Genomic DNA, 18,266 nt, shown 5'->3' with positions numbered 1-18,266 from the left:
CTAGTCTCAAACTCCTGAGCTCAAGTGATTCTCCCACCTCAGCCTCCCAAAGTGCTAGAATTATAGGCATGGGCTGCTGTGCCTGGTCTCTATTCAAGTTCTTTACGCATTTTTTAATTGGGTTATTTGTTTTGTTTTTTTGCTATTGATTAATGTATTTTTGATATTAACCCCTTATCAGATGTATAGTTTGCAAATATTTTCTCCCAGTCTTTAGATGGCTTCTTCACTATATACGTATGATCAATTATTATTGGGCCTTTAAAAAAAAGGAAATCCTGAAATATATGACAATGTGGATGAACTTGGGGGACATTATGATGAGAGAAACAAGCCAATCACAGAAGGACATGGACTGCATGATTCCACTTATGTGAGGTTGTAAGACAGCTGAACTCATAGAAGCAGAGTAGAATGCTGGTTGCCAGGTGCTGGAGGGAGGGGGAACTGAGGCAGTGTGATTCAACAGATAAAACTTCTAGTTATACAAGATGAAGAAGTTTTAGAGATATGCTGTGCAACCTCGTGCATGAAAACAATCCTGTATCGTGCGCTTAAAAATTCGTAAAAGGGAACCTGAGCAACATAGTAAGATCCCATCTCTACTGTTTTTTTTTTTTTTTTAATTGGCCAGGTGTGGTGATGCACACCTGTAGTCTCAGCTGCTTGGAAGACTGAGATAAGAGGATCGTCTGAGCCCAGGAGTTTGAGGCTGAAGCGAGCTATGATCCCACCACTGCACTCCAGCCTGGATGACAGAGCGAGACCCTGTCTGTGAAAAGAAAAATTATTAAAGGGTAGATCCATGTTAAATCCTTTTACAACAATAAAAGAAAAATCAGAGAGAAATTTGGGGGGATTTCTTTCCTTCACAATGTGTTTCCTCCAGAGCAGATACAAGCTTTTTGTGTTTTACTTTGACCTACCTGGGATCCAGCAGACAGAGCTCCCTTTTGGAGAGCATAGAGTCGGCAGTTCTAAAGGCCACATTTTCAGGGCTCTCGGGTTACCCATCTGGCCTCTCCTAATGAGCCTGTGGGCATCTGGGGCGTGTGCAGACCAGCCATATTGGACCACTTTTCTCTGCCACCCCCCCCCAACAACCCCCCCACCCCCCAGGCACAGGGCCATGGGGGACACGGATGCCAAGCCTGGTTTGGTGAGATTTTCTCCAGCAGGCCCTGTCTGCCCTGCCCTGCTTGCCCTCCCTCCACCCAGTCCTGGCAGCTGCAAGGGGACCTCTAGACCTGCTAAGTGACAGGGCTGTAGAGGCGGGAGGGGGGCAGCTCTAAATGGCCTCTGGAAACAATTTCTTCTGCTCCGCTTTGGGGGCCTGTGAAATGTTCTCTCCTGTCTCCCGGCTGCCTTCCTCGGCGCCTCCCTGGGCTCCGCTTTCCCCCTTTCCCCAGGCCGCTCTGTGTGTGTGTGTGTCTGTGTGTGTGTGTGTTTCTGTGTCTCTGTGTGTGTCTGTGTGTGTCTCTGTGTGTGCCTCTGTGTATGTCTGTGCATCTGTGTGTATGTCTCTGTGTGTGTGTGTCTCTCTGTGTGTGTGTGTGTCTATGTGTATGTCTGTGCCTCTGTGTGTGTGTCTGTGTGTGTTTATGTCTGTGTGTGTATCTGTGTCTCTGTATGTGTCTCTGTGTGTGTCTGTGTCTGTCTGTGTGTGTGTCTGTGTCTGTGTGTGTGTGCCTCTGTGTGTGTGTCTGTGTTGTCTGTATGTCTGTGTCTCTGTGTGTCTGTGTCTCTGTTTCTGTGTCTCTGTGTGTGTCTCTGTGTGTGTCTCTGTGTGTGTGTCTGTGTGTGTCTCTGTGTGTGTGCCTGTGTCTGTGTGCCTGTGTGTGTGTCTGTGTGTGTCTCTGTGTGTGTGGCTCTGTGTCTGTGTGTCTCTGTGTGTGTGTCTCTGTGTGTGTGTCTGTGTGTCTGTGTGTGTCTGTGTGTGTATATGTGTGTGTGTCTGTGAGTGTGTCTCTGTATGTATATCTGTGTGTCTGTGTTTGTATATGTGTGTGTGTCTGTGAGTGTGTCTCTGTGTGTATATCTGTGTGTCTGTGTGTGTGTCTGTGTGTCTCTCTGTGTGTATTTCTGTGTGTGTGTGTCTGTGTCTCTGTGTGTGTGTATGTCTGTGTCTGTGTCTCTGTGTGTGTGTTCCTGTGTGTGTGTCTGTGTGTGTGTGTGTGTGTGTCTCTGTATGTCTTACTGTTCCTTTCCTTTTCTCCCCCAACCTCTCTTCTCTGCTCTATTATTAGAACAATCCAGGTCTGCTGGTGTTCCAGCCAGCCAGGCCCTGATCACCCACTGCCTTCGCGCCTAAAAGATCCAGAGGTGGCTCAGACATGGTTCGATCTGCTGCAGGCATGAAAGGCAGAGACTAAAACCAAAATGCATGAAAGAGAGGGCTCAGGGCTCAGAAGAGGTGTGGAGGGTGCTATGAGATTTGGGAGGCAGACATCACTTCCATGCGGGAGACTTGGAAGAGGAAGTTTCTTAGCCTCTCTGTCCCTGAGTTTCCTCAATTGTCGAATGCAAGGAGCCCCCACACCGAGTTGCCATGAGGACTGCATGAATACATGTCATGTTCTGTAACAGCTCCTGGCAGATGGGGGACTGAGGCTCCGAGAGAGAAAGTCACCTCCTTAAGTTCACACGGCTCGTGGTGGCATCAAGTTGCACCTGGTACCCCCCACTGCCAGGGTCTTTCTGGCATGCTACCCTACTTCCTTCATCCTTTGCGAACTGAAATCTGTCCTCTGGTCCCCTCTGTCACAGCTGTAATTGCCTTGCATTCTGGCTGGTTGTGCATGGCACAATCCTCCTCTCTCTGCCATGGGCTCCTTGAGGACAGGGATGGCGTTGGCACTCCTGTGTGCGGCAGGATCTCCTGTTCCAATGTTGCCAGTGCTGCTGGTGTGCTTTCTTGTCCCAGGTGGTGGGCCAGCCTTTGGGCTTCCTCGTTTCAGGAATTTGGAATCACGGGACTGAGAGTCACATTGTCAGACAGCTAACAGCCCCCTCCTGGCTTTGGTATTGTGGGCACCTGGGTTCATACCAGGGCATTGGACCAGATCATCCCTTACAGTGTGAATGGGGAGCACGGGGTTGGCCGGATCTGAGAGACAGAGGGGACAGAGTCCCTTAAGCCAGGGAGGGAGGAGGAAAGAGCATTGAGTTACCAGCACTTCATCCCCTCACAGAGGCCCAGGTCATGACTGAACTTGTGCTGTTGTTTTCCTTTTCTAATCACTGCCTACTGCCCACCTGCCCCAATAGGCATTTGAGTTTGGGATCCTTTCATTGGAAACCCTCACAAAACAAAAGGTAAGACACCTGTTTTCTTGTACACTGGGGCTGCTCACTCCACCTTCTCAGGGGTATTATCCCCGGCGACTCCAGGACTGCCCCCTTCTGTGGGAGTCTAATTTTATTGACTCATTGGTACTTCGTGGGCACCTTCTCATTGGAGAGGAGAAAATAAAAACAAGTTTTATCTCTTGCAAAAATGTAGAATGCAAAATGAAGGTTAGTTGGGCTCATGCAGGCCTGGCTCCTTGACCAGCACTCAGCATGGTTCCTTGTGCCTGCCTACTGTCTTTGGTAAGGCTCTAGAAGGGGCGTCTAGTGAGAGCCAGGTGCAGGGCATTTCTCCAGGCGGCCTTGGATGATCCAGTTCTCCCCCACTTCTTTCTCATTTGTAGTTCTCAAGAATAACTGCAGCATGGGCTGGGAATACAATATCCTGAGATAGGGAAGGACTGGCCAGAACAGCCCAGGCTCTGTTCCCATCCTCCCTAGAAACATGGTGTCCTTCAACACTTTAGCCCAGCAAGTCCTGTTGCCCCTGGGTGTAAAACCCAGTGCTACGGATTGCATATGGTTTGTCTGGCCCTGCCATGTCTCATGTCGAGGTTCGATTCCCAATGCTGGAGGTAGGGACTGCTGGGATCCTGTTTGGATCATGGGGGCAGATCCTTCATGAATGGCTTGGTGCCATTTTTGTGGAAGTAAGTGAGTTCTCACTCAGTTTCTGAGAGCACCAATGTTAAAAAGAGCCTGGTGTAGCCTGGCCAACATGGCAAAACGCCATAAGAAATTAGCCAGGCATGGTGGTATGTGCTTGTAGTCCCAGCTACCCAGAGGCTGAGGTGTGAAGATTGTTTAAGCCTAGGAGGTTGAGTCTGCAGTGAACTGTGATCATGCTACTGCACTCCAGCCTGGGCAACAGAGCAACACTGTATCAAAAAAAAAAAAAAAAAAAAAGAATGAAAGAAAGAAAGAAAGAGCCTGGTGCCTCCCTCCCCTCTCACTGGCTTCTGCTCTCCCACCATGAGATCTCTGCACATGATGGCTTCCCTTGTCTTCCACCATGAGTGGAAGCAGCCTGATGCCCCAAACAAAAGTAGATGCTGATGCCATGCTTCTTGTACAGCCTGCAGAGCTGTCAGTCAAATAAGCTTCTTTTCTTTATAAATTACCCAGCCTCAGGTATTCCCATATAGAAAAACAAACAGACTAAGACACTCAGGGTGGGCTGCCTTCTGGGGTTCCTCAGCTGCTGTGCAAATGGAGCCCACACAGATAAGACCCCATGTTCCCCAGGCAGCTTTCCTGAGCCTTGGGGACCCAGCTTGCAATGAATCCTAGGCTTCTGTTATCCTTTGCTGCCCATCTGTCAGTAATAAACCCACTTCATGTAACTCATGTGTGGGTCTCACTGGACTCAGGCAAGTTGGTCACCAGTGCACAGTGAACCTGCTTTGCACCAGATTCAAGATTTGGTCTCAGATGTGCCTGGCCCTAAAGCTTGTGTGGGTTCCTTCTTTTGTGCAGTTGGAAATCCAGGAACATGAGCCAGCTGACAGCCAAAGTCACAGTTGCAGTAACTTACATGGAGGATGATATGGTTTGGCCCTGTGTCCCCACCCAAATCTCACCTTGAATTGTAATAATCCCCATGAGTCATGGGAGGGACCTGGCGGGAGGTTTTTCCCATGCTGTTCTCATTATAGTGAATAAGTCTCATGAGATCTGATGGTGTCATAACGGGCAGTTCCCCTGCACACACATTCTTGCCTGCCGCCATGTAAGACATGCCTTTCTTCTCGTTCACCTTCCACCATGATTGTGAGGCTTCCCCAGCCATGTGGAACTGTGAGTCTATTAAACCTCTTTTATATATATATATAAATTACCCAGTCTTGGGTATGTCTTTATTAGCAGCATGAGAGCAGACTAATACAGTGGGTACAGACAGTTACAAATACCCACTGTGTGTCTAGACTGGGCAAAAAATCTTCAGGATACTCATTTTTCCCTTTCTACTCATTAATAGGTAACCCTAAAACAGGCTTTGTCTGTAGGCTTCAAAAAGGTGTTGCTCATATTTTTCTCAGCCCCACACATAGATTAAGGGGCCAGTGCCACTCCCCTGCCCTGCAGGCCACACCAACTTAACCTCTCTGAGGATCATGGGGGCAAGTGCATTTAGCAACCTGCTGCTCAACATGTAGCCACTCTACCAGCAGCCTCAGCATCACTGGGACCTTGTGAGAAGTATGGGACCTCAGGCCCCATCCCAGACCTGTTGATTCAAAATGTGCTTTTTAAAAAGACCCACAGGGAATTTGTGCATATAGTAAAGTTTGAGATTCATTAATTTAGCAAAATGGATAAGACTGGAATGCAGCTCGCCTGCTTTCTAGCTCAGTGAACTTGAGCACGTCTCTGAAATTCTCTGATCCTCAGCTATGAGAAGGGTTGAATCATAAGAAGTTGCCTTTTTTTTATATCTACAAAATATAGGTACAACCCAAATATAAGCAATTTCATATGGTTCAACCAAATACTTATTTTGTTGGATTGTTGTTGTAATTCATTTTAAAATGAGATAAGAGATAGAAAGCATTTGGTACATAGTAGGTGTTTGCTCAATGGTAATTACTGCCTGTGTGCAGGGAGAACAGCCTTGATCACCATTACTATCCTTACCCACTTGGTTCCTGTGGAAACCAAGCAAAAGAACTCAGGTATATGCAACTTTTCCTTAAACTTGAGGCTGTAATAGAAGCTCCCTGCTGTGTAGGCCATTCTGTTCTCTCTGAGTCACCCAGCATGTCTGAGGGGGCGTTATCCCAGTGGGTTTACAATCTTCTCCAGAAAAAGCATGCTTCCTGTTTCCGTGTGGAAAGTCATCACCAGGAAGGGCCGACTGAACTCAGTGCCCAGAGTGGGTGGGAAGTCAAGGTCTGGGCGAGGCCCAGGGGTGAGCTGAATGCTGGTGGCTGCAGCAGCTTCAGAGCCCCTCTCATCCAGCGTCATCATGGCCTTATGAGTGACCTGCAAGGAAAATTATAGAATCATCAAGCCACCCATAGGAGGGACAAACCAGGCCTTTATGTTGGGACCAATTTTTTTTATTCTGTTACTTAACCCCATATGTATCCATCTATTCACTTACCCAGTCAGTGATTCTGCTAACTACCCTTTAAAAAATCCACTATCCATCTACTACTCTTACATACTCCTGTCTGACTGTTGTCCACCCATCATTGATCCATTCAACCAGCCAGCCAGCCAATCATACTCCACACCCTCTCAGCCATCTACTTATCTCTGCATGCACCACTCATGTATTCACATAGTTGTCCATGCACCACTCACTTACCCACCCATCCACGCATCATCCATGCACCTTGCTACCCATGCATCTTTCTATCTATGATTCCAGCTATTCGCTATTCACCTATTCATGCATCCAATCACCAATCTCCTCACCTACATCCATTTTTATGGCTGGCATCTGCATTATACTGGTTGCAGTATATTTTGAATATCACACCAGCATCTATCTGTCCATCCACCCATTTCTCCATCCATTCATCCATGCATTCATCCAACTACTCTTTCACCCAACCATTATTGACTTTTTCTTTCATTCACTTAATTTTGCTAACTTATCCTCTCTCATTCCATTACTCGTGTATTCATGAATTTATTCCGTGTGCATTTATTGAGTACCAATGCTGTGCACTCCACTGTGCCAGGGATGGTAGGGGATAGAAACATGGATTGGACTGACTTTGAAGAAGCTCATCATTTGATCGGGAAGATAAGACAGATAAAGAAAGCAAGAGTGGAAAGTTATCAGGAGAGATTTCTTTCTGCTTTGAGTGTGGGGGTGAAGGATAAGAGCAGAGAAACCTTCATGGAGGAGGTAACATTTGTGCAAGGCCTTGGGGAGAACGTTTTGGGTGGTTTAAAAATAAAAAGTCTGAGCCAAAGTAAGAAGGTGAAAACTGTGGGGACATGTAGGATGCCGTGAAGTTCAGTCCAGCAGGACGCTATGAAGAGTAGGAGACGTAGTCTGGACAGGAGGGTGATGACTAGATCATGGAACACTTGGAAACCTTCAGTTCCCTGAGGACCAAGCTATTCCCCAAGTTCCCTGTCAGTCCTTTTTTTTTTTTTTTAACATAGCTTGTATTTTAGGTCTAAAAGCATGAGTGACCTCCCCAGGAAGCATCCTCTGCACTTCCAACGTGGGAACATGATTTGCATATTTACTGCCTTCCCTTTCCTTATTTCCTTTGGGATCCCCAGTGTTTTAACAAAGCAGGTTGTAGTCATGGAATAAATGCAAGGAAGCAAATAGCAACTTGCAAAGTTAAAGGAAACAGCGTCTCCTGTCTTTAAGGAGGTCCTGGACATCTCTCTCCAGTGTTCGTCAAAAGACAATAAGAGGCCCTCTGAACACACCATCCCCAACTTACTTTAGAAATGTTCAGTCCAGGCTGCCCAGGGAAGCCTCCACCCACAGTCACTCATGGGAGGAGCATCTCCAGTCTGCAGGTTCTAGAAATGGAAAATTTGGGGAAGTGGAAATCGAGTTCTCTGCGGAGAGACAGAAATTGGGTTGCAGTAGAGATCCTGAAACAGCCTCTCACCTTCTTCCCTGCCTGGGGTCCCTCTGCCCCACACACCCCCTCCATCCCATTCTCTGAGGGGCAGTGGGTGTGAGCTTTCTAAAAGGCGTACCATCCCCAATTCACCTCAGTGTGGGAAGTGGGTTGTAACTACACTGACATGGAAGCCCTATGACGAAGACACTGTTATTCCCATGTGATAATAGCAGATGATACGATGATGTTCCCAGGAACACTTAGAGGGCACACCTTGCCTGTTCTGGGGATCCGTCAAGCCTTCACAGAGCAAGTGATAGCTCTGCTACGCCATGAATAAAGAATAAGAATCCCAAAGAGGGCTGGGTCAAGAAAGGGCACGCCAGGACGAGAATTTGCACACACAAAAGACCGGGGCTGAGGAACAGCCTGGCAAGTTCAGGAAACTGCAGAGAGCACAGTAGGTTCCAGGAATAAGCATGGGGGAGTTGGGAACACAGAAAAAAAGGCCGAGGAGGGAGAAGGCTGAGACTGGGAGAGGCCAGAGCACCAGGCTCTTAAACAGCGTGAGGGGCCAAGGGAGCCCATGACAGGTGACAGTGTCTGCAGCAGAGGTGGGACTGGAACCAGCCTCCAGACTCCTGGGCCAGTGCTCTCTCCAGTCCTTCCTCCCCAGGACCCAAACTGATATCTTCAAGGGGCCAATGACAGTGCCCTGGAGAGTGACAGAGCCCTGAGGGGGGACAATACCATGGAGGTGACAGCATCCCGGGGGGTGACTGTGTCCCTGCGGTGATAGTGTCATGACAATGTGTTCTGGGGGTGATGATGCCATGGGTGGAGGGTGATAGTGTCCTGAGAGCATTAGTGTCTTGGAGGGGTGACAATACCTGTAGGGTGGCAGTGTCCTAGAAATAACAGTGCCTGGGGAATGACAGTGTTCTGGGGTGTGACGGTACTCTGAGAGGGTGACAATATCCTGAGGGATGACGGTGTCCTGGAGGTGAGATGTCCTGGGTGATGTAACAGCATCCTGGGAGAGAACAGTGCTTTGAATAGGGACAGTGACCTTGGGTGATAGTGCCCTGGAGATGACAGTGCCCTGGGGTGACAATGCTTTTGAGGTGACTGTGCCCTGGGGACACTTTACGGTGGCTGAGGGAGAAGGCGAGGCCCGGCCTCCCCGGGGCTCTGCTGTGTGCAGGCTACCTGGTCCTGAGCAGACTGTCCCACTTAATCAGTGTTTCAGGCAGCAGGGCATCTTCCAGCTGCCTCATCTTGCCCCTGTTGGGGAAGATGAAGAAGGTGGTGGTGTTCCCAGCGTGGTCCATCCGCAGCACAGAGCATTGCAGCTCACGGTCGTGCAGGAAGCGGTGGCTGGCCTTCTCCTTCATCATGGGCACCCACACAGCGCTGTGCTCATCTACAAAGAACTCCTTTGGGCTGGTGGCACGTGAGTCAAAGGGCTTCATCCACTCAGCTGAGGGGAAGAGCAACACGGACGTCATCCTCGCAGAGAACCGAGAACGGGCTTGGGGTTACCCTTCTAGCAGCTTGTGGGAGTGGGGAAAGCACCCTGGATGCTGGAATCTTGGAGTCCACACTCAGGAAGCCAAATCCCACTCACTAACTCCCTCCTGAGAGGTCCCTTAGTACCTGCGTGGCCCTGGGGGCTGAGCCCGGAGCCTCCCTGAGCTTCTGTCTCCTCATTTGAAAATGATCAATACTATTAGAAACTATTACAATAGTGTAGCAAGATTACAATCACATAAACACAAATGGTCTCTCATCTCCTTAACCTCTCCTGGAGGTGGTTAATTTTTAAGAAAAAATGTATCACTGTGGCACAGGCTTCTTGAAGGTAGGTGTGGATTTGAAGGCTAGGCCCTGCCTGGCTTTGAAATCTAGGGCAAGTTACCCGACTTTGCGTCAGTTTCTCATCGTTCAAGTGGACACGATAATATCTATCTTGTCAGGTTGCGATGAGAATTAAAAATTAAATATGCACAGAGCCGGCATGTTAATAAGAACTTCGTAGTCAATATGTGCGTGTGTATATGTGTAACCATGTCTACAAATTAACACCATCAATAGTCATAGATGCATATTTGAGTGGTGCCTTACTGGCGCAGGCAAATAAGCTTTCTTCTTTTTAAAAAATGTGTTTTCTTATCTGTAAAATGGGAACATTGATCTTAGGCATATCTGCTAAGATAAGCCTGGTCCGTTTCACCCAAGTGAGAGAGTCAAGGGAGATTGTGGGGTACACACGCTTTGAGACCCACAGAGCACTGTACAAATGTGAGAACTGAGTTCACCTCCTGAGTCCTGAATGAGAACAAGGGGATAACAACACGCGTCCCCCTGCCTGCCCCCAAATGGCCACCATGGCGTCAGTATTAAACTAAGCCAGGCATTAACAGCGGTGGGTTGAATGTCATGACCGTATTATTTAAACACACTCAATGGTGGGGACATGCAGCCTGTTTGCTCTCTTGGAAAAAATTAAGGACTTTAAAAAAATTTAGGATTCTTCCTGCTCTAATCCGTGCCTCCTAAGGCCTGCCAGAGGAAGGAAATTCAGGTTCCTTAATACAGTGGTGGCTTCTAGAGTTGCTCAAAGGGGAGCTCAGCCTTCCATTAGCAGAATCACCTGTGTGGGGAAGGGAGGCGAGCTTCTTCAAACGCAAAGTCATGGGTCTTGGACTTACTCCACTGAAATCAGAATCACTTAGGATAGGTACGAGATACCTGCATTTAAGCAAACTCTCTAGAGAGTTCATATGCACATTAAGTTTGAAAAAGTCTTCTTTAAAAACAAACTCTTCCAGTATCATTAACATAGAGAAGGGGATGAGTTCCCTGTTACGGGAGGCATTCAAGTAGAGATATCAAGGATTCAGGGGCAGACACTCACCGAGTGTCATCTATATCCAAGTCAGGAGGGGACACTTTCCAGATGCTGTGATGGGTGGGGCTAGGCTGTGGTTGGAGCCTGGGTTCTGGGATTCTGAGAAGGAGATCTGCATTGGGCACACACGCTCTTACCTCTGAGGAGCATGTGATTCACCAGAACCGCTGTGGTTTCACTGCCGAGGTCCTTCTCCCAGGCCCCGAGCTTCCCCTGGGTCTGCTGCTCTGTATATTCGTCAATGTGTTTTTGGGCCTCCTCTAGGCTCTGGTTGGCCCTCGCGCCCAGGCCGCTGAACCTGCGCTGGTCCATGGTCAGGAGGAGCCGGGGACCCTGCCCACGGAGCCTGATCAGCAGATCCCAGAAGCCTTCCTGGATCTCCTCCTCAGGCACCACGGTGAGGGTGAACCCCAGGCCCTCCAGGAGTTGGGTCCTGCTGGCCACTGGGGCCCCCCAAGAAAGCATGGCCAAGGCCAGGGAGATGCTCACTGGGGAGAAGAGAATGTTCTCCCCGGGGGCGTTCAAAGCCAACTGTCTGTAGAGCTTGAAGGCAAAGTCTATGTTGCTCACAGAGATTTTGTGGCAGGGCAGGGCAGGCCCAGGGCTGCTGTCCTGGGGGCCAGAATGGATGAGATCAGAAGCTTCTTGGTCAACCAGGGCCACACAATGAGCCCCAGCCATGAGCACAGTGACCAGCAGCCACCACCGAGAGGCCTCCATCCTCTGGGGTCCTTGGTCTGAAAGCAGCGTGGCAGAGAGGACAACAGCAATGTCAATGGTAATGATAATGACAATGTGTGATATTCACCACATGTCTGCCCTGTCCCAGGCACCCCGCAAATACTTCAAGGCTCCCCTTGCCTCTCCTGGGGGCTCCCTTCCCATGCCCTCCTCCCCACCCCTCAGCTTCCTGCTCACAAACAGACATGGGGGATCTCTGGACAAAGTCAGAGCCCCTCCTCCAGAGGACCCTTCTATGAATCCTGGCTGCACCAGATCCCAGATCTATGACCTCGGGCGATTCACTTAGCCCATCTGAGTCCCACTTCTTATCCCTGACCTTAGACTTACAGGAAGCTGTGAGGAGGGGAGGGCCAGGAGGTGACTCATGGTACAGGGAGGAGTCCAGGGCTGGGCTCATATAAGCCCAGCACCTTAGGCAGGTGGCCTTGCCTCTCAGGACCTTGGCTTCCACTCTGTGGCATGCTGCTAAGAATCCCCACATCACAAGGTTACAGAAATTCAAAGCAATCATGCACGGAGCACACTCAGCCCAGGACCTGGCACAGAGAGCCCCAGGAGTGGCAGCGGACGTGGGGCCTCCCTTCCAGTGGTCTGACTCAGCAGGCCTCCACGGAGTCTGGAATCCATTTTGGCAAGGGTCTGAGCTGGTCCTGGGCCCCCCTTAGGGAACCATTGTGATCCTTTCAACAGGTAAATCAGATGCGTTCACTCCCTGCTGGAGACTTCCAATGACCCTATAGCAACTAAGAGAAATCCCGTGTTTCTCACCACACCTTAGGAGGCCCTACATGACAAGGCCCTGCTAGCCTTTCTCACCTCCTCCTTTTTTTTTTTTTTTTTTTAACAGAGTCTTGCTCTGTCACCTAGGCTGGAATGCAGTGGCATGATCTAGGCTCACTGCAACCTCCACCTCCCAGGTTCAAGCAATTCCCCTGCCTCAGCTTCCCAAGTAGCTGGGATTACGGGTGTGTGCCACCATATCCAGCTAATTTTTTTTTGTATTTTTAGTAGAGACGGGGTTTCACCATATTGTCCAGGCTGGTCTTGAACTCCTGACCTCAGGAGATCTGCCCACCTCGGCCTCCCAAAGTGTTGGGATTACAGGCGTGAGCCACCGTGCCTGGCCTCTGACCTCCTTCTGACCATCCTTTCCCTCCTTCCCTCTGCTCCAACCATCCTGGCCTTCTTGCTAGTCTAGAACTTACCAAGCTTCTTCCTGCTTAGGACCTGTGCTCTTGCCATTGGCTGCCCGGAGCAGCCTTGCTCTCGCCCTTTCCACAGCTCGCTTCCTTCCTTCACTCAGTTGTCTGCTCAAAGGTCACCTCCCCAGAGAGACCCCACCTCTGCCCTTGCCACCCTCACCCTGCCTGGTTTTTCTGATGCCCATCTGGCATGGTAGGACATGTTTGTCTGGTTTCCCCACTAGAAGATAAGCTCCGTGAGAGCAGATACTCTGTCTCGTGCATGGTTCATTCCTAGTGCTCACTCAACAATATTTGTTGAAAAAACAAATGGTTCATGGGCTAACCTTTGGGGGGGCCTCCTTCTAGGGCTTCAGCCTTTACCTAGAGCACAGGCATTTTCCTGCCTCTCTGGGACCTTAACACTGGACCATTCCTAGCTTTCTCTGCCACAAGTGCTTGGCCTCGCATGTCCAGTCTAGGCTTGGGTTAATAACTGACAGAATCGACCATCATCACAACCCCTTGTCCTGCCTCTGATTTTCCATGGGACCTCGGACAGCCCTGGGCCTTTCTGAACTTGAGCTTCCTCATCAGTGTAAGAAACAATCAGCTCAGCCTCAGCCTCCAGGAAAGCCTCTGTTCCCCGTGATTTACTTATCGACAGAGAACCAACCATCTCCATTTGCCCATTTGCCTGGTAATCTGCTTTGGTGAATATCTTGGTTTTGCTGAAGTTTGCACTTTCATTCTCTTATTATATTTAACCTTCATTCATTCACTCATTCATTCATTGAACAAACATAGACAAAACGGCTGCTACATGTCAGGACTTGAATTGTATGCTGGGGACACAAGATGAGTGAGACACAATGGCTCCCTTGGGGAGGCTCGGGTCCTGTGGGACAGACATGCAGAGATCTGCGCAGGGTGGCGTGTGCTCCATGGCCAGGCTGGTGACAAGCTGTCTCGGGTCCAGTGTCCTGTCCACGCTCACATTCTTTAGGTGGGGTTCCATTGTGCCTTGCTGGTGAGGGTGTAGATGGAACCTAGCAGCAGCAGAGGCTTCCTCTGAGGCCCCAAAACTATGGAGCTTTTGAGCAGAAAGGATGCCCTGGTCCAACCTGGGCTCTGGACAGACAGGAACACTGAGGCCCCAAGAGAAGCTCGTTCATGTACTTGCTGACTCACTCACTGAACCAATATTCAGCAGTCAGGGCAACAGGGACTGGCAGCCTGGGCCCTGCCTGGAAGGAGCATGCCAGTGATCGCAGGGAAATGTGGGGAGCTGATTACAGCTCAGTGAGGAAAGGGCGATGGCAGTTAGAGGTGAACTGCAAAGGGTGAATGAGGAGCCTGCAGGAGGCATGGAAGGTAGAAGTTCCTGGAAGGTTTCCTGGAGGAGGTGGCACCTGAACTGAAACTGGAAGATGGAGCAGGGGAGAGGCAGGAAAGGGGTTTGGGGGTTTCAGCAGAGGCAAGAGCATGCTTGAGGCCATGGAGGCAGGGTGAGTCAGCACCACTCCAGATTGTTGCCTATATGCACAGCTCCTGGTGCACAGTGGGCATGTGAGTGTGTGTGTGTGTGTGTGTGTGTGTGTGTAGGTGTGTGTGTAGCATGATGATATAACTTGTGGCAAGTTCAGCAAGTCAGCTGGGGAGCTGGGGATCTAGCTCCACCCACAGCCCCCAACTCACCTGAAAGTCAATGCTTTCCGTGAGCTTTTGGAGGAGGTGGGGAGATTCGGCAGGTTTAATGGCCCTTGAAAAAGTGCGTCCCTGCAGGGAGGGTTGTGACGGGCTGGATTTCTGGGAGTAACACAGACTGAATAAGGCTGCCCTTGGCTCAATGTCCACCCTTGGCAAAAACCAACAGAGGAAAGCGATCTGCCCTCCATTAGGGTGATGTGGAAATCCTTGAGTGGAGAAGAAGGAGCTGTGGAAAGTGGGCGGTACCCTGGAATTGCGGTGGGTGTCCTGGAATTGTGGTGGGTGTCCTGGAATCAGACTGAATAAGGCTGCCCTTGGCTCAATGTCCACCCTTGGCAAAAGCCAACAGAGGAAAGCAATCTGCCCTCCATTTGGGTGATGTGGAAATCCGTGTGTGGAGAAGAAGGAGCTGCGGAAAGTGGGCGGTACCCTGGAATTGCGGTGGGTGTCCTGGAATTGGGGTGGGTGCCCTGGAATTGCGGTGGGTGTCCTGGAATTGCAATGGGTGTCCTGGAATTAGGGTGGGTGTCCTGGAATTAGGGTGGGTGTCTTGGAATTGGGGTGGGTGCCCTGGAATTGCGGTGGGTGTCCTGGAATTGCAGTGGGTGTCCTGGAATTAGGGTGGGTGTCCTGGAATTAGGGTGGGTGTCTTGGAATTGGGGTGGGTGCCCTGGAATTGCGGTGGGTGTCCTGGAATTGCAGTGGGTGTCCTGGAATTAGGGTGGGTGTCCTGGAATTAGGGTGGGTGTCTTGGAATTGGGGTGGGTGCCCTGGAATTGCGGTGGGTGTCCTGGAATTGCGGTGGGTGTCCTGGAATTGGGGTGGGTGCCCTGGAGTTGGGGTGGGTGCCCTGGAGTTGGGGTGGGTGTCCTGGAATTGGGGTGGGTGTCCTGGAATTGGGGTGTGTGTCCTGGAGTTGGGGTGGGTGCCCTGGAGTTGGGGTGGGTGTCCTGGAATTGCGGTGGGTGTCCTGGAATTGCGGCGGATGTCCTGGGGGCAGGTCCCAGTTCCACCACTTTTGTTCTGCCTGACACTCCCAGGCCTCAGTTTCTTCCCTCGCCCTCCTTACTGCTCAAGGTTGACAGGAAAGTTAAGCCTAGTGATATACATAGAGGTTCTAGCAAAAGGCTAAGCAAATTGGAGCAATGCTCTGCCCTCTTCTGGTCACATTCTTTTGCCCAACACACATTATGGACACTTAACTGTTGTGTCAGACACTGTGCTCATTACAGGAGCACAAAGATACCAAAGTCATAGTTCTTGCCTCCAAGGAGCTTGGGTTATGATATTTTTAAATGTCATAATTGCTTTTTCATTTGGGCTCTAATACTTTTTAAGTTGTAATGGCTAGTTACAATGTAATGATTATTTCTTCAGGAAAGTCAATAGAACTTTCCCCTTTAAAGCAATGTGAACAGAAAAGTTAATATGTACTCAATAGAAAGTGTTTGCAAAGCCTTAGCAAATCAAACGCTTTGTGTTTCCTGGGCTGGCTTGGAGGCAGGGATGGCACAAGGTGACCTGCAGATTGAGTGCAGATAAGATTCACAGGAGATAACAGGTTTGAGCCAGAACTAATTTTCTTCCAGCTTTGCTTGTTATTACTATATTTTTGCTCTGCTTATCCACTGTCTTGACATCAATAGCCACACAGTCACCTCTTGTTGACTTCCTAAAACCTTCAATTCTTGATGTTCACATCAGGGATGGCACAGCAGGGGTGTATTATGAGATTCATTGTATTCATTCATTCACTAATTCATTCATTCATTATGGAATGCTTACTGCATCTGAGGATGATGCATTAAATACTGGGGAATAAGGAACAATCCTGCCCTCAAGGATTTGTTTTTATTTTAATGGCTTTATTGAGATATAATTTATATATTATACATTTCACCCACTCAAAGTGTGCCATTCAATATTTTTAGTATATTGACAAAATTATATAACCATCACCACAATCTAATGTTATTTATTTATTTATTTACTTATTTACTTATTTATATTTCAATAGGTTTTGGTGGAACAGGTGGTGTTTGGTTACATGAATAAGTTCTTTAGTGGTGATTTCTGAGATTTGGGTGCACCCATCACCCAAGCAGTGTACGCTGCACGCTATTTGTAGTCTTTTATACCTCACCCACCTCCCGCCCTTTCCCCCAAGTCCCCAAAGTCCATTGTATCATTCTTGTGCCTTTGTGTCCTCACAGCTTAGCTTCCATTTATAAGTGAGAACATACAACGTTTGGGTTTCCATTCCCGAATTATTTCACTTAGAATGATGGCCTCCAATTGCTGTGAATGCCATTATTTTGTTCCTTTTACGGCTGAGTAGTATTCCACAGTATATATATACCCCAGTTTCTTTATCCACTCCTTGACTGATGGGCATTTTGGCTGGTTCCATATTTTTGCAGTTGCTAATTGTGCTGCTATAAACATGTGTGCAAGTATCTTTTTTGTATAATGACTTCTTTTCCTCTGGGTAGATACCCAAGAGTGGGATTTCTGGAGGATTTTTTTTTTGTTATGGAAAAATGCAAACATACACAAAAATAGAGAGAATGGTATAATGCACCCCTATATACCCACCAGCAGCTTTAGTTATTTTCAATATAAGACCAATATCATTTTTTGATACCTCCCAATCTCTTTCTTCCTGTGGAATATTTCAAAGCAACTCCTATAAAATATTTCATTTTATGTGTAAAAATTGGGAAAATATCGTAATTGTAATAGCATGTCACACTTTTAAAAACAATAATTTCTTAATGTTATCAAGCCATTAACTGATTCCTAATCATTTTTTTCTTTGAATGCCAAGTGTATTCTGTACTTTCTTTTATTAACATCACAGTCTTTGCATCAAGATACATAGCCATGATAGCAGATTTCTTTTTAAAGCTTAGTATTAAATATTAAATATCTTTCCCCATTTAAATTTCACATTACTCTGCCAAGAAAAAAATAATTAAAACTCAAGTTACTTCAAGCCTGGACACACTTCCGTGATTATCTGGGTTGTGTAAGAGTTGGAGGCTTTATTTTTCCTGCTATGTAAGCAGATTCAGGCCCTAGAAAGATGGGATCAGGTTATACAATTGCTTTTGAAAAGTGTGCTACAAAAATGGATGGCCTGGTATAAGCCAGGATACAAAGTAAGGATGAGGGTAAGGGAGGGACATTTTCTTCAAGAAAAAAAGCAAATTTCTCAAGAGTTCCACTCTATAATTTTCCCAAAATGGTTGGGGTAAAATCTCAACATGAGGTTCAAAGTACTGTCTCTGTGGGGACTGGTAGTTGCTTTGCCAAAGAGAGCGACTGCCGAGGAGGGGATGGCTAAGTTTCACCATGCCCCATCCTCAGCTAGGAGAGTGGAAATGGAAAGTGTATCGCCCAGTGGGTGTGAAAGTGGGCTGAAGCTTGGTTGGTACTGAAATCTCTAAGAGTTTCTTCTAGAAACAGACAACTCAGACTCCTCCTCTCACTTCAGTGAAGAAGTTATTTTTAAAAAGCACCTGGGCTGGGCACAGTGGCTCATGCCTATAATCCCAGCACTTTGGCAGGCCAAGGTGGGTAGATCACTTGAGGTCAGGAATTTGAGACCACCTTGGCCAACATGGTGAAACCCCATCTCTAGTAAAAATACAAAAATTAGCTGAGTGTGGTGGTGCACGCCTGTGGTCTCAGCTACTCAGGATGCTGAGGCAGAATTGCTTGAACCCAGGATGCAGAGGTTGCAGTGAGCTGAGATGGCACCACCTCAGTCCAGCCTGGGTGATAGAGAGAGACTCTGTCTCAAAAACTATAAATATAAAAATAAAA

General features: G+C 48.4%; 1 pseudogene across 1 annotated transcript; it reads right to left on the bottom strand.

Annotated features, from left to right (window-relative positions):
• Window positions 1-5,846: 5,846 nt before the first annotated feature.
• Window positions 5,847-12,116, bottom strand: SERPINA13P (serpin family A member 13, pseudogene; annotated as a pseudogene). Its single transcript, NR_015340.1, has 5 exons — window positions 11,875-12,116; window positions 10,941-11,540; window positions 9,102-9,372; window positions 7,764-7,884; window positions 5,847-6,330 (listed from the first exon to the last, which is right to left on the bottom strand). The product of NR_015340.1 is annotated as a serpin family A member 13, pseudogene (transcript).

Source organism: Homo sapiens, chromosome 14 (assembly GCF_000001405.40).
Source record: "Homo sapiens chromosome 14, GRCh38.p14 Primary Assembly".
Lineage (NCBI taxonomy): Eukaryota > Metazoa > Chordata > Mammalia > Primates > Hominidae > Homo > Homo sapiens.
Note: the sequence above shows the minus strand (reverse complement) of the source record. Positions and strands in the feature narration are given on the sequence as shown.